This window comes from Homo sapiens, chromosome 3, assembly GCF_000001405.40.
Source record: "Homo sapiens chromosome 3, GRCh38.p14 Primary Assembly".
NCBI classification, from domain to species: domain Eukaryota; kingdom Metazoa; phylum Chordata; class Mammalia; order Primates; family Hominidae; genus Homo; species Homo sapiens.
In genome coordinates this window covers 160,402,275-160,418,894 of record NC_000003.12, presented here as the reverse complement: position 1 = coordinate 160,418,894, position 16,620 = coordinate 160,402,275, and the positions used below count along the sequence as shown (strand labels likewise).

At 33.8% G+C, this 16,620-nt stretch overlaps 1 protein-coding gene, 1 long non-coding RNA gene and 2 other non-coding genes across 11 annotated transcripts in view; 1 reads left to right on the top strand and 3 right to left on the bottom strand.

Moving 5' to 3' along the window:
* The window catches only part of TRIM59-IFT80 (TRIM59-IFT80 readthrough (NMD candidate)), a 258,294-nt gene that overhangs the window by 66,853 nt on the left and 174,821 nt on the right, over nucleotides 1-16,620 (top strand). The gene's annotated exons all lie outside the window — the stretch shown is intronic.
* SMC4 (structural maintenance of chromosomes 4) overlaps nucleotides 1-16,620 on the bottom strand; it is a 35,304-nt gene that overhangs the window by 16,059 nt on the left and 2,625 nt on the right. For 5 of the 6 annotated variants that reach the window (XM_011512311.3, NM_001002800.3, NM_001288753.2 and 2 more), the window contains 8 exons: nucleotides 16,028-16,219; nucleotides 14,391-14,567; nucleotides 6,811-6,975; nucleotides 6,442-6,569; nucleotides 5,282-5,422; nucleotides 4,378-4,528; nucleotides 2,480-2,644; nucleotides 939-1,172 (listed from right to left, as the gene is read on the bottom strand). In XM_011512311.3, the coding sequence (XP_011510613.1) occupies nucleotides 939-1,172; nucleotides 2,480-2,644; nucleotides 4,378-4,528; nucleotides 5,282-5,422; nucleotides 6,442-6,569; nucleotides 6,811-6,975; nucleotides 14,391-14,567; nucleotides 16,028-16,219 (1,353 nt within the window). The remainder of the gene's footprint in view (nucleotides 1-938; nucleotides 1,173-2,479; nucleotides 2,645-4,377; nucleotides 4,529-5,281; nucleotides 5,423-6,441; nucleotides 6,570-6,810; nucleotides 6,976-14,390; nucleotides 14,568-16,027; nucleotides 16,220-16,620) is intronic. The other variant, XM_006713459.5, reaches the window with a different exon arrangement.
* MIR16-2 (microRNA 16-2) lies at nucleotides 14,070-14,150 on the bottom strand. Its single transcript, NR_029525.1, has one exon. It is a non-coding gene; the product is annotated as a microRNA 16-2 (primary transcript).
* On the bottom strand, nucleotides 14,210-14,307 carry MIR15B (microRNA 15b). The gene has a single exon (NR_029663.1). It is a non-coding gene; the product is annotated as a microRNA 15b (primary transcript).

Genomic DNA, 16,620 nt, shown 5'->3' with positions numbered 1-16,620 from the left:
AGATGACTGGATAGTCCTATTGCTATACAAAAATGCCAGGCTCCCAACAAGAAAGGAACCACAAACATGCACACATAAACACAACCTCTGTTTCTCAATCTCCAACTTCTCAGCAGCCATCTTTTCTAACTGGTATATTCCTCCATCCACTAGATTTAAATTATGTCTATTACTTACTGTACTGGCATAAAGTTTAAACCAAGTTACTGACATAATTCATCCCAAAAGAAACCGAATCCCAGGAAGACAGAAGCAGTCACTGGATCTAACTTAATTTACATTTAAATTCTACCTGGTCATGAAATTCCCTGATGACCAAATAGCATGCATTAACTAAAATGAAAAAGACTCATATTTATTTTCAGTATAATTACACTTCAAACAGATTTTTTTTTTATTGCCACCTTGCCTACTGAGGTTTTGGAGATCTTTGGAGATTAAAGTTTACGAAATTCCTTAGACATCTAATTCACTCAAGGATGGGGGACAGGCACCGATAAGCTATACATCTTAGTTAGTTTATAACATTTTGGAATGCAAGCAAAGAAACTACATCCATAAATTCAAAACCCAAAACACATTAAGATAGTTGTTTGTATATTCATTATATAAATACATATACACTTGTTTTTTATTTATCTTTAAATTGTCTATACTTAAGATTTAAAGAAACACAAACTTTCTTTTGTTTAAATTATTTCTACAGTGGGGTGGTGGTGGTGATTTACTTACTATATGGTGCTTCTGGGGATAATATAGTTTCTTGATAGTCTCAGTTCACATATGGAATACTGAAATGCTGACCTCATTCTTTTGAGATTATACAAAATGAAGAAAATTTATCACTAGTCACCTCTGACGCGGAGATTAAAAACAAAAATGTATAAAGCTGAAGTGGACGAATGATGTTCTGATGCAACAGAGAAGCAAAGATTTACCTCCTTTAATTCTTGTTCAGTTTGAGGGAGTTTTCCTTCTATATCTCTGATTGCAGCTTTCCTTTCTTTGAGAGTCTCAGAAGCTGCAATTAGAGCTTCCTTAGCCTTAGTTAATTGAGACACTGCAGTATTATGACGACTGAGATAGATATCAAGTTCTGACTGGGCTACATCCATCTTTGAACGTGCTTCATTTACCGATTTGCTGAAACCCATAAGTTCTTTCTCTCGACTCTGTTAAAATATGAGTTCATTAAATCTGGACAGATATTTACTTTCAAACCTACACTGAAATGAAACCATACATTTTATATTCGATTTAAGAAAGGAGATTCTATAAGCACAGTATATAGAAATAAGAAATTCTCACAAGTGGACTAGATTCAGTTTTTGCCTAGTTGTCAATATTCACTGTACATAGTCTTTTCCCAACTGATTTCACAAGAGCTTTGTGAGATCGATCATTACGCTGAGGAATAAAGACATTTGAGGCCTAGCTTTGTCATTAACATGGGGTGCAGGGCACATGAGTACTCAATATATATTAAATAAGCAAACAGTGAAAATCCACTAACTATGAAGTATCCCATCATGAAAGCTACTGCATTATCCATTGACACTTTATCACACAGGTATTCTAACCTGTAAAGTTTTATAATCTGACATTAGAACATGTCCATATTCCAAAGCAGACTCTATTAAGTGACACTTCATCACACAGGTATTCTAACCTGTTAAGTTTTATAGTTTGACATTAGAACATGTTGATATGCCAAAGCAGACTCTACCATGACTTTTTAATGCAGTCAATTACCATTATCCATTAACATAGGTATTTAACATGCTTAGCACTGTCAAAAATGCTGTGGTACATACAAACAAAGATAATTTTATGCTTACTCTTGTTGGGGTAGATAATACATATCAATGTGACAACTTCATGCTCTCGTTTTATTAATATAATGCTAAAATTATAGCTAACATTTATTTTCTTTCTCAGTACGTTATATAGATATATTTATTCTTTATTTTCACAAAGTAGATATATTCTTTCTCATTTTAAGGAAGATGACTTGGAGATATGACAACCGGCACAAGAACAGAGACAGTAAGTGATTGACCTAGGATTTGAACCAAGAACTGAAACAAGAGCCACAGCTTTTAACTATTACACAAGAGCTATAGAAGCAAAAACAAAAGAGACATTAACCTGCGCTTAGTGTGGCTCCAGGTTTTACAGGTGGCAACAAAATATGATGATTCAACACGCTTAGGAGTGGCATATATAATAATCAAGGTACTGTATTTGACATCACACCTTCTGCTACTACTACAAACTCTCATTTAGTAAACTTTTTAAAAAACATGTCAGCAGGAATTAAAAGAATAGTCATCTAAGTCTAGGTTGACTAGTTTTAGGAATGTTGGACATTAAAAGTCCAAACTTACCAGTTCAGGTTTCAGTATTTTTGAAAAAATAATCTTTAAGTTAAAAAAAAAAAAGCCACCAAAATAAACACTGATAAAAAAAAAAAACTTACTTCTTTTTCTTTCTGAAGCCCTTGTGTTTCCTGTTTAAGGCTATCCATAACTTCCTTTAATTTTTTTTCTTCTTTCTCTTTTTCCTTCTCGAGGGCATTGTTTCTGGTTGTTGTTTCATTAATGATATTGTTACTCTTGGCAGGTATACTTTTAAATTCTTCAACCTGAGATTATAAAACAAGTTATAGGAGCATACATCTTTATGTTACCCAATACTATCAATATTTGACATATTTAAAGGCATTTCTCAGGGTCCTCTAGTTCTTCTTTTCTTTATAATCAGAGTTAAATTAGCTAGCTTTAACAAGTATTTTCCCGACTATTCACTGTAATTTCTATATTCTCTCAATCTAATAGTAAAACTACTTCTACAAACACCTGACCTCTTATGAAGGAAAACTGTCTCTGGCAGGGCCTCAGGTCTGTCATCCTTCTCTCCTGATTTCAGGTTGTAATTATTCTTCTTTAGCTATAAATATGCTCTGACTACACGGAATTTTCTAAACTATCCTTCCTGGTATATCATAACTTACCACAAATTATCTTTACCATCTCCCCAACCCTAAAATCTTTCACAACTTTACTCTTCCAGAGTCATCATGTAGGGCTAATATTTTACTCCATTAACATCTTCTGATAATAATCACTTATCCATGCAGTCTATGCCTAAAGGCTAATCACTCTGTAACAGTTACACTTAGCTAAGTCTGTCAAGTCTTTGGGGTTACCCCCAAAGCCTTGTTATTTTGTTTACTCTGATTATCTAGTACCTGTGAAGTTCAACATTTCCCAAAATGCCACTTCCTTAAACACTGACTCAACGTATTTATCAGCTGTGCTAAGCAGAAAGTATTTTGTGAACAAATACATTTAGAAAATGCTTATAGCGTAAAGTAGAGCCTAATCTATAATTATTGTGTAACCATATGGAACAAAGCTTTTTTTTTGCGGGGCTGGGGTTAAGGTATCATATCTGTTTAAATATGACAGAGCTATGAACATGAACACAGCTTAAGAGATTCCAAATTATGAGCTTTCCTATCTCTCTTTAAGACACAGAGTCTCACTTTGTCACCCAGGCTGGATGCAGTGGCTTGATCACTATTCACTGGAATCTTGAACTCAAGGCATCCTGCCGCCTCACTCTCCTGACTAGCTAGGACTTTTAGGCAAGTTCCACTGAGCCTGGCTAATTTTGGATTTTCTGTAGAGATGGGATCTTACTATGTTGCCCAGGCTGGTCTTAAACTCCTGGCATCAAGCAATTCTCCAACTTTGGCCGCCCAAAGCACTGGGAATACAGGTGTAAGCCATTGTGCCTGGCCAACATTGGTAATTCTTGGGAAATCCTGCTCTGATCCTGTTAGCTTAGTTTTTGTAGAAGACAGGCAATATTTTTAAGTCTGTAATACCTAACTTAAATATCTTTAAAAACTACTACTTTAGGAAAAAGAAAATTAAAATTAACACCAAAATGGAACTCCTGATTTGGTAAATGTTTTCCCAATAACATATTATTGTAATATAAACTTTAAAACTCAAAGTCAAGCTAGGAGCAATGGCTCACACCTGTAGTCCACGTTACTTTGGGAGGCTGAGGTAGGTTTCTTAAGCCCAGGAGTTCAAGACTATAATCATACCACTGCACGCTAGCCTGGACAACAGACTGAGACCCCATCTCTGCAAAATTCCAAAACCAAACAAAAAACCTCCTGCAAAATAAAGTCAGTAGAAGCAAGGTTTCCCTTGAGGGGGTAAAATCATGTTCAGAGACAAACCTTAAAACAACATTTAGAATACTAATTCATTCTCTTAGGCAATAAGGGGCAAACACATCCATGAAAACTAGGTATGATATTCAGACGTGAAATTTTAAGAATTTTTTTCTAACACCTACCTTTTCTTTATCTTTTTGAAGTTGTTTCTCCAGTTTTTTGGCTTTACTCGTGGCATGTTTTAACTTTTCTCTAACTTGAACATCTTCCAAATCTAGCTGTGTAAATTTTTCTTTATTCTCCTCAATAAATTTTGTAATTTTATTCAGTTTCCTAGCAAAGCAAGTATATTGTAAGTCATTATTTTGAATGTGCACATATTTTAAAACCACATTTCCTACCTGGAACACTTCCTCTATAAATATGTCCAGGCTCTTAATAAGGCAGGATCCTAAAACTCTCCTTATTCCAAGATGATCCCTCTCCCCATAGTTGAAGAAGCACCTGTATTTTTGATTATGACAGCTATTTTGCCTTTCTAAGTTGGAGGGAAAATAACACATTTTCCAGTGACTACAATGTCTAGGTATATAAAAATTTTACCATAGGAGTAAAATTTTGGTTTTACCTTTTACGAATATACTTACAAGTTACTATACAATAAACTTACTATACAAATTTTTTTATTTAAAAATAATTAGAGATACTAGTGTCATTGAAAAATGGCATCAAGTAGGGACATGATAAAACCCTTAAAAATCTATCTAGAAAAACCCAAATCCTATCCCTCTATCAGATTTGTGGACTACTAAAAGATTAAACTGTGAAGCCAAATGCTTATTGTTTGTTACTGTGCTACGCCACTAGGGGGTAGCATCCCCACGGTTCTAAGACTTCAGAGTAGGGAATTTCATCTGTAACAAGGAACTGGATGCAAGGCAAGTTTTTTTTTTTCACTAAGGGGGCCACCACTTGATATGCTGGCAAATGTCTTACACTCACAATGTGCTAGAAGTAACTTTATATATAAATACACATGTAATACAATTATCTAAATACTTTTAGTACTTCCCAAAATATTATTACTTTTCTGTATCTTTTACATCTTTATTCTTAGCTTTCATTTCATTTGATAGTATATTGCTCTTCTCATTAATTTCTTTGGTATCTTCATGAATTTTTTCCTTTTGAGTTTCCATTTCAGCAATTCGTTTCTGCAACTCATAACTATAGGGAGGAAAAAAAAAAAAAGAAATTGAAGCTCCTAAAATGCCATTTCCAAAACTGTATAACAATTTTAGTAAAACTAACTGTTTCTAAAATATTATTAACTAGTCAATATATGACTGCCTAGGCTATGAGGGGAAAATCCCCCTGGGTCAAGGCTAGAATTTAGGAACAAAAATCGATTTCATTGTACCAATGTGGTGGCCGACGCCTGTAATCCCAGCACTTTAGGAGGCTGAGGCAGGCAGACTGCCTGAACTCAGAAGTTTGAGACCAGCTTGGGCAACATGGCGAAACCCCATCTCTACCAAAAAAAGAAAAAAGAAAAAATAAAAACAAAAAAATCCCAGCAACAATAATAATAATAATAATTAGCCAGGTGTGTTGGTGTGTGCCCTGTAGTCCCAGCTACTCATGAAGTGGAGGTGGGAGGATCAACTGAGTCCGGAAGGTTGAGATTGCAGTGAGCCGTGATCACACACTGCACTCCACCCTGGGTGAAACAGCCCATCTCAAAAAACAGTTCATCATAAGCTGAAAAAAATCAGATCTGCTATTACACGAATTTTAAAAAGTGCACACGTAAAAGGACTGAGTACAGTAATAAATACCTGTGAACCTACCTCCCAACTTAAAGCAGGATACTAAAAAGTCAACTTCAATGAATTAATATGCCTAATTTAATAAATTCAACCCTGGTGATCAACGGGATGACAGGTGTCACAGCCAGATAGTCCTCACATTGGATAAGTTCACCACATAATTCCTTTTTTTGTAGAGATGGGGTCTTGCTATGTTGCCCAGGCTGGTCTTGAACTCCCAGCCTCAAGTGATCCTCCTGCCTTAGCCTCCCAAAGTGCTGGAATTACAGGCATGAGCTAACACATTCAGTCACACAAAACAATATTTAGAGATTTTTTTTCACTTCAGTCTTCATGTTTCTCTAGGAAAAGAGAAGGGCTTTGACTTAATGGTTAAAAACTAATATAAAAATTGGTAATATCAATCAAGGCACTTACATATAATATTGACAAACATGATTCTTTTTTCTAAATATTTCATTTTCCAAGGTAAGAAATTCGATAGCTATGTTTTTCTCTCCTTCTAAGGCATCCTTTTCCTTTTCCACCATCTTTACCCTGTTTAACTACAGAAATTAAAAGTTTAAAGACTGAATACACACTTCATATGTACAATATGAACTTAAAATATGCAAACATTAGATAAAAACAGTTAATAAGGAGAATGTTCATCTTAAATGTTAAGATATAAATTTCAATATAACACTTCTTCATTAAGTATTATAACATGAATATCTGACTTACTAAAATTTGTTAGATCATAAATGAAACATTCTGATTTACAATGAAAGTCTACAGATGATTCACCTTCTCTCCTCTGTGTTCATTTAATATTTCAACTCTCCGACACAAGACTTTAATAGGTTCATTTAGCCGTCCACAACCAATTATATCTTCTAAATATTCAAGCATACCCTCATCGTGTTCAGTCTGGCCTTTTGGTTTCATCATAGCAATTTGTTCAACTTCACCCTTTAAAAAAAAGTTATATTTCATACTCACTGTGTATGTTTAGCTAAATCAATCTTAAGTGAGAATTGGGAGCAGTTAAATAATAAAGCCAAGAGTAATAAACATCTAAATAATGTACAGTTAGTAGTGCAATGATTTAATAAGGTATAAATAAAAATGTTATTTTCACTGGTATTCCTAAGAGTTTTAATTTTACACAGGGAGATATGAAACATGAATTTATATTCCCTTAGATAAATCCTTATAAAAGTGTAATATACACCCACTTACACACACTCATTTCCCCAACTAGAATGTTCAATATAAATAAATAAAACTTGTTTCTTTAAGTAAAATTTAGGAAAGCTTTCACTTAATCTGCAATCTGATTATAGTGGAAACATTATCAATTGTTAATAACACAATTGAAGCTCCTGTTCTAAAACAAAGAATTTTCAAAAACACTTGCATGGTTAAACTGTGTTAGGAACCCTGTCCCAAAGTAGTATTACCAACTTTCTCTACAAACATGGTTTTTAGGAGTTCCTTAACAAGTAATGGGTTTCAAAGGTAGTCAAAAACTTACATGTTCAGTTTTCTAAAAACAAGAGCCTTTGACAGAAAAGGATATTACCTATTTCTCATGGTAATAACAGAAATCAAACAGACCACCTTGACTAGAGAAAACTAATGGCACTGGTACATAAGACATCAGAAAACTTTCAGTTTGTAATCACTAATATAACAACTTTGAACTGTAATTAAAATCTTAGATTAACTTTACATATTTGCATTTATGCAGTTTAATTATGAAGAGTAAAGAGAAAAAAAATCCATAATAAGTAACCATCAAGGCTGACTGCTAGGCAGTCATTTAGTTTGATGGTGGAGAGAAAATTGTGTCTGAGTATGTTCAGGCCAAATGCTGCTACGTTATAGGAGTAGCTTGTTTGTACTCTAGACTATTACAATGGAAGAATAGGTACAGGCAAATGAAAAAAGATATACCTCTTATTTTCAACAAAATAGCAAAGACGAAAAAAGTCAACAAAAAGAATTACACATTAAAAATAGTATATTGTTTTCTTAATTCAAATATCTTAGTGATTCCTATTTCCTAAGTGAATACAGGTGAACCTTAAAAATGTGGGGTAAAACTTACTAATGAGAGCATCATAATTCACCAAAAGCCTCAACATAATTACAAAAAGTAAACAATTCAATAACAGTGGACAAAACAGCTTATTTGAAAATCTACTCATTAAGAAATAATTTTATTTGCATAAATCACTTTTCGATACTTCTGACAGTCTATAAGCACAATGATTATCAAAGTAAAACTGTTACCCCAAAAGTTATTTTCCATAACATTCATTATATTATGTATGAATCGGTATATAAGTGAAAATATGTAGATATTTATATAAAGTATTTTATTCTGCTTTCAACTGTTAGTTCTCTCTAAATGTTTGCAGCAAGAGTTTAAGTTTTAGACAGGATTGAAGCCTGGAAAAATGCCCAAACCTTTGGATTACACAGGATGAACGTTAAGTCACTGAGGAAGCCAAGAGTCTTATTCAAGTTTGTATCTACGTAGGGTTTATCAACAGTGGCACTACTGACATTTTGGGCTGGATATTCTTTGTTGTGGAGAGCTATGCTGGGCATTATAAGATGCTTTAATAGCATTTCTGACCTTCACCCACTAGACACCAGTAGCATCCCCACTTCTACCAGCTATAACAACCGAAACTGTCTTCAGACGTTACTGAATGTCCTATGGGAAAAGGGGCAGAATTACTGTCAGCTGAGAACTACTGATCTAGAGGCTGCAGTTTGTTTGTTCACTCATTTATTATTTTTTTGAGACAGGGTCTTGTTCTGTCACCTAAGCTGGAGTACAGTGGTGTGGTCTCAGCTCACTGCAGCCTTGACCTTTCAGACTCAAGCGATCCGCCCACCTCAGTGTCCCAAGTAGCCGGGACTACAGATGCACACCACCACACCCAGCTAATCTTTAAAAAAAAATTTTTTTTGTACACATGGTGGTCCCTCTATGTTGCCCAGGCTGGTCTCGAACTCCTGGGCTCAAGCGATCCTTTTGCCTCAGCCTCCCAAAATGCTGGGATTAAGGGCATGACCCACCATGCCTAGTCTAGAAGTTGTAGTTTAAATCCTGTGGGTTAGTGTTTATCATCCAAATAAAAAACAATATCTGACAATTAATATTCTACCCAATTCAAGGAGAATATCTGAACACTTATTTTAAGAAAATGAAAAACCATCCCAAAAGAACTTACATTTGAGTCAAATGGCCATAATGTATTATTTAAGTATACATTTTTCAGATAGCTAAAAGTTGGGATTCAGTGTTTAACAGTTTACGCTGACAAAAATATTCCTTAAAAACATTGTATTTCTCCTGGCAAATTACTTACTGAAGAGATAGAGTACAGCTATTAAGAAACAGCTTAGCTTTGGGTAAATAACAATGGTTGCTCATTTTTGGTTGTTTGTTCCTCTCTCTCCAAATAAAATGAAAGATACAGCTATGATTTCCTCTAATAGAGTTGAGCATTTTTTTTTTTAAAGGCAGGATATTTACAAAGCAAAATAGTTACATCTCAACTCCTGTATAACATTCAGTCTTTTTTTTTTTTTTTTTTTTTTTTTTTGAGACGGAGTTTCGCTCTGTCGCCCAGGCTGGAGTGCAGTGGCGCGATCTCGACTCACTGCAAGCTCCGCCTCCCGGGTTCACGCCATTCTCCTGCCTCAGCCTCCTGTGTAGCTGGGACTACAGGCACGCGCCACCATGCCCGGCTAATTTTTGTATTTTTTAGTAGAGACGGGGTTTCACCGTGTTAGCCAGGATGGTCTCGATCTCCTGACCTCGTGATCCGCCCGTCTGGGCCTCCCAAAGTGCTGGGATTACAGCAGTCTTAAGATTATTATACCGTATTGCTTTTTTTTAAACCAGTTACCATATTATCAGATTAGCATTATTGAATCAACAGGCTATTAACAGGCCTTTACTTGTCCTTTGACTATTAAGACTACTGTGGTATTACAATGACAACCTGGGACTTTTCTTGTTGCTCTGTTCTTTGATGTCCTTTGCCTGCCCTACCACTTGCTACCATTTCCTTTCTTCCTTCTTTTTCCATTTGTGCCATCTCCTATGTAATCTGTAGATTGACAGTCTGTGCCTAAAGGATTCCTCCTTATTTCTTCAGAAAACTTACATAACTCATGTAAAATTACAGAATATAGTTTTAATTTAGGGCAATAAGCTCAATATATTTCAGAAATAATTTTAAAACATCAACCTGAATTTAAAGTCATATCAAGGTTCAATCCAAGTCACAAATAGTGACTGGCACAATCACAGACAAAAAATGTTTCAAGTCGCTACAACACTATTATCTGATGCTGACAAAGTTTCATATGTTCCCAGTGTTATCTCTATTTCTTGTATCTTAAAGCATATGAAACAAGGTCTTAAATGATTTTTCCCACCACTGTTATCTTAAGTTATGGAACACTTTCTTGAGTGGCAAACAAGGATATTATGATCCAGTTATACCACTCTTTGAGAATCAATTTACTGAAATACAGCTTAGAAATCTAAGAGGAATGAATAGGTATGATGCCCTTTATCCTTATTCAAATGTAATCCAAATTTTAGCAAGCATCAACTACAGAAAACTCAAACAGTACATAGCTATAACAAAGTTTTGTTGTCCTAGTAAGGCCTCAATTATTCTTCTCTTTATTTTTACTTGTAATTACTATGAAGGAGGGTTTCAGTGATTCTTACAGCAAATATGAGTGTTTGCATAAAAATTAAATGGCCTAAAATTACTGAGGTTTAAGTTTTTATCTTGATCATCTTTTTATTTTCTATATCTTTTATTATACTATACTATAAATTAGTGTTCTTTATCTTCCTCCAATACATTTTACTCTAATTTGATCTTTGTAAGCTACCAGAGGCCAAGGAACTAAACCACCAAGGTTAGTATCTTTCTAAAATAAAACAGAAAGAGTAACTTGTTAGTAGCTGGACTTCTTGATATCTATTTCTGGTTGGTTAGAGGTAGCTTCCTTGCTGCTCTCCACCACCTTCACCCTAGTTGTGGATATTGAATCAGACACCTTTGGAAAACTGAGGCATTACTGAAAAAACTAAAAATTTCTTTTGATATTATAGCATAGGCTCATTTCTACAGACTAAGAGACTAGAACCCAAGTAGTTTATGTGACAAGCTTAAGAGAAGTACATTGGAAAAAAGAACAGATGGCTAGGCAACAACTCAGACCTAGGTTAATTAAATCTCCAAATTACAAAATAATTAAAAAAAAAAAAAAGAACTTGGCTATTATTTATTTATTTAGAGACAAGGTCTGTCACCCAGGCTGGAGTGCAGTGGTACGATGTTGGCTCACTGCAACCTCTGCCTCCTGGGTTTAAGCAGTCCTCCCACCTCAGCCTCCTGAGTAGGTGGGACTATAGGGGTGTGTCACCATGCCCAGCTAATTTTTGTATTTTCTATAGAGACATAGTTTCACCATGTTGCCTAGGCTGGTCTCCAACTCCTGGGCTCAAGTGATCTGCCTGCCTCAGCCTTCCAAAGTGCTGGGATTATAGGCGTGAGCTAATGCACCCAGCCTGGTTCGTGTTTCAAACTTTAGATTTTGTAATATGAAGACAAAAGCATATGAAGTTGAAAACTTTGACAAAATTAAAGTTGTGCTAATAGTTGTAGCTTTTGAGGAGTTTACAAAAATATTCCTGAGGCAGCAATCATTAATACAACTTTTTAGTAAAAACATTAACCATTCTTCTACCCCTGAATGGAGCAAAAGCACCCCTAATTTATAAGTCATAGTTACCCAAGAAATGTTATACAGAGCTAATAAAACTCTACTTGTACAGACTTACAACGGGACCGAGGCTCCCAAAGTAGGTATATATAAAAGAAAATGTACGATTATAAAAAACACAATGGTCAATCACAACAAACTTTTTGAAGGCATGTATGTGTCTTTAAGGACAAGAAATAAGGTTTAGCCATCTTAATATTACTTACAGCATTTTAGCATAGTGCCTTAATAGGAATTCAATTGAATGGCCAATTAATGAAATTTTTAATGGATTTAAGTAATAAAAATGCCTACTTGAAAAATTTGCTAAGCGAATATATTAACACTGAAAAATTTTACTCTTAGGAACTTCTAAAAAATTTGGTTCTTTTTAATCTCAAAAATAAATGTTTATTTTTACTAAATTTAGATTACTTTTGCTGTTAATCACTATTACTGGCCAAATAGTCTACATGTTTTATTCCAAGTAATGATTTAGGTCTTGGATGTTGATACTACGATGCTGTTTCCAATTTCTCAGCCTCCCAAATCAGTTTTTAAGATAGATGTTATTCAGTAGGAGAGAAGGTAATAAAAATCACATTTTTACTTACCATCAAATGCTTTAAATTGCCAGTTAGGAGTCTGAGATTTTCATAAGCGACTTAAAAAAAACAATCCATAGAAACCATTGTCACTTTCCCTCAAAGTTTTAATTGGGCACTATTAGTTCTACCGTAGTCCAATCCCTGTTTCTTATTCCTAACAAGTGAGTTCCTAAGGTCCTTATCTATAAATTTAATTGAGTCAAACTGAATCTGTTAACTTGGAACATTCACCTTTGTATTATTTGGGAAGAAATGTTTTTTAAACAATTGTAAAGATCACATAAAAAGGTTCAGATTATCATGTGAACAAATTGGCTTTAGCATCCCATATACTTCAGAAGCACAAATGTAATATAAATTTGACAATTTATAAATTATTTACTTCGTTGGGACAATATTACATTAGCTTCCTTTATTACTGAATTACGTACAGAGATGCTGTACAGAGAAAAAAATTATCCTTAGAAGGGTTAAAATGCAGTGTATTTTGATGAATCTTTGGATAAATGTAAAACTTTGATTATCCCAGGATGACGGTAAAAGATTAAGCAAAAGATAAACATAAGTACAATTTCCTGCAAATTGGTATCATCATCAAATTTAGTATTATATAGGGACATAACTTTTTATCCATTATTAACCAAACCAAGTCCCAGAATATGTAAGTCAATAAAACAGTTCAATTTGATTTTAAAAACACACAAAATCCTTTAATGCCACATTCTATAAATTCCAATCTTGTTTAGAAATATATCTGCAATTAATTTCCTCAACATTAATTTTTAAATAAGTTTAGGTTGAAGTATTGCAAATATACTGTGCCTGGTAACAAAAGATATTAAAAAAGGTTATCCTAGAATGATACTGATTTACCTTGTATACTATGAATGTCTAAAAGTAATAATTTTTAGAAACAATTGAAGAATAAAGACTAAAATGGAAACAGAGGCTAACATTTTATAAGTTTGTTATTAGGAACATCCAGTCACCCTAACAAAATTCCCTACTTATTTCAGTCATTTCTGCATCACAAAATAGTTTTGCTTTTATTATGCTTCGGTGATTCTGGATAGAACACAGGAAAAGAAGATACCCTCGAATCAAACAGGAACTTGACAAAGCCATGGTTTTACCCTAATTTTTTTTTTTTCCGAAAAATTCTGAATTTTGAGGACAGGGAAAAAAAGATAGGGGATTTTTCTTACCAAGCCATGCTGGTAGAATATACTTTTACTTAAAGAAAACAGGGTTTCTAATAAAAATCAGTTTGGCACAGGTACTTAATTTTTACATCTCTTTAAAAGGACTTGCTCTGTAACAGCTCTGATACTTAACAATGTAATATCAAAGTTTCGTTCTTTCAGTAGTAGTGGTTCCACCAAGTAAGTCATTTTCAACAAAACAAAAACCAACTTGAGTAAAGGTTAAGTTAACCATCCAAAGTGTTACAAAGATTAAATTAACTAGGTGCTTAGGTAAATCAAACACCAAGTGTACAGATTTTTTCATTTTTTGGTTATATATCAGAAGAGATAATAAGAACAAAAACAAAGGAAAAGGATAGATTAAAATATAATACATTTCATTTAAAATGTTACCTTAAAGGGAAATACAAACAATTGATAAAATAGTTGCTGTATCCCTGTCACACTAAAGCAGCACAGTAATATTGGTGTTTAATATATATTTCACTACGCCAATATTTACGTGCTGCTAGAGTGGAACAAGTATGTCAGTTCATCCAAACATAAAACGAACATCTGATGATGAAAACATAGTTTTGAATGAATTTCCTTAAATTTCTAGAGCAGCAAATAATGATTCGCATCTTGACTGTAGCATGTAAACCATGATGTGCTGCTACAGTACTTTAAGGCCTCAAAAATGTAGGATTCATCCAACCTAGCTTTATAGAAAAAAAAGTAACAAGAATAAGAGAATCTTTGAAGTCTTTAATAAACTTACCTGTAAAATTAAAAATCTATTATGGTCCAAGTCAATTCCATGGCTTCGAAGAAGATTTCCAACATCCTTAAATGTCTTTTTCTTTCCACTTATGTGATAGACAGAAGTATTATCTCTGCAGGCCGTTCTGGATACATAGAAATTACTGTTAGGAATGACTTCATAATCATCCCCTTCCTGTTTTGAGGAAAAACAAAACCAGAAAACAATTGTTGGTATTAAGTCATAGGCCTACTTCAAAATTCACTCATTTCATACTGAAACTAATTCTATGGATTAAAAACTTCAATTGAACATGCACACAAACTGCCAGTAGTTCTCATTAATAACCCAACTTAGCAAAGAATTGATACTTTTCCATGCTGTTTTGGTCCCTTTCTCAAAGATCACAAAAATCAAGAAGCCAAACCAACCAGCCAACGAAAAAACCCACCTCCAAACAAGCCTAAAAACGTTTATGATTGAGAAGACGTAGACAAGATTCCCACCATATCCAAAACCCACACAAATTATTAACATGTTGACAGATTAAAAAGCTGCAGCTTTTTAAAATGATGATTCAAAGAAAAAGGAAGGAAGGTAGTAACCGGGTGATACACTTTAGTTTTTTTGTGTGGGAGGGTAAAGAGTGTGCCGTTAATTTAAAGTAAAAAGAATCACAAAGAAATAACAACTAAATTCCCTTGATTTTCTTTTAAACAGATTTTTAAAAAAATCAATTGCAAATCTACTTTAACACTTTCCCTTAACCTTAAAAGTTCTGTCATACTGAAGCAAAGGCTTCTAAAATTTAGATAAATCAAATGTAATTAATATGCAATGGAATAAAATCTGATTTCCTGGCAATCTATTTTCCAACCCAACTTGTACAATAGAAAGCACAAAAGAAACCAAATTAAAATAGATGATTCTGTGTAATTAAAGCACTTTGTATTAAAAAAAGGAAAACGAATTCAAAAGACAAATCACCTCCCAATTTCATTATGTAATTAGTTTTCTATATTTTTAGGTTCCATCGAGTCATTTTTGAACAATCAATTTCCTACATTATTAAACAGAAGAGAAAAAGTCTCAACAGGTAAATAATCTAGACATTTTACCTCTAGTTGTCTCCATTTCTAGAAAACAAACATTAGCTTGTCCTTCCCCCATTTCTAAAGGACTTAATTACAGCAGTAGTCAAACTGAAGCAAAGCTCTTTCATATCACAGATACTCAGGGGCCACTAACATTAGAGTTAAAATGCACTGAAATAATGAAGATGGTAAAACCGGCTAACTGCTACATTTTCAAGTTTAGCTAATTTATTCTAAAGCAATCAAAATATAACTTTAAAAATGAACTGAATATTTATAGTAAAATAATGCCTATTTAGTACTCAGGACCCTAAAACTGCTCAATGCTTTTATTCCAAAAAGGATTACTATGAACTATTTATACTTCATTTCTTTAGCTAAAAAATAAGTATTTTAACAGGCACCACCACTCCCCCAAAATAAAATACGGTCAGAGATAATGAAACCAATGCTTTCCGCTGTAATTACATACAAATTTCTTAAAGCCAAAAATAAAATATGTAATGCATTTAAGTCCATTTTCCTTACTTGAACTTGCCAATAACAGTAAAAATCCCTTACCTTATCAATTATCTTTTGAAAATGAACTTCTACTGTACAACTCTGAATGTCCTTGTGTTCATCAGAATTATGTATTAATACTGAGAGTTTTTTAGATCTTATTTTTTGTGCTCGATAGCCAAACACAAAAAGCATAGAATCAATAACATTGGATTTGCCACTGCCATTTGGCCCGATAATACAGGAAAAGCGCTGCATTAAAAAAACAAAAACAAAACACGGAAAAGTTCATAAGGTCATGCTAATACTACTGATTTTAACTGAAACTGTTAGATTTTTTTACTTGCAGTTAAAAACTGCAAGTATTTAAAAGTTCTCATTGCTAATCACAGGCATACGACTTGAGTTTTCTTACATCAAGTTCTCTCTTAAAAGCTTCAACATTCAATAAGAATGCTCCAATTCTAACGCAGACGTTTTAGAAAACTCATTTTATAGTTAAATTATCTAAGGGTTCCATAGAAGGCTTTAAGAAAAAAAAATTATCCAAGGGAAAATACTCTTTCAAACAGAAACACACACCGACTCCATTCAATGGAAAACTTTGTAACTAGAGGTACCAAAGATAACCAGATAAACAAAAGATAATTTCA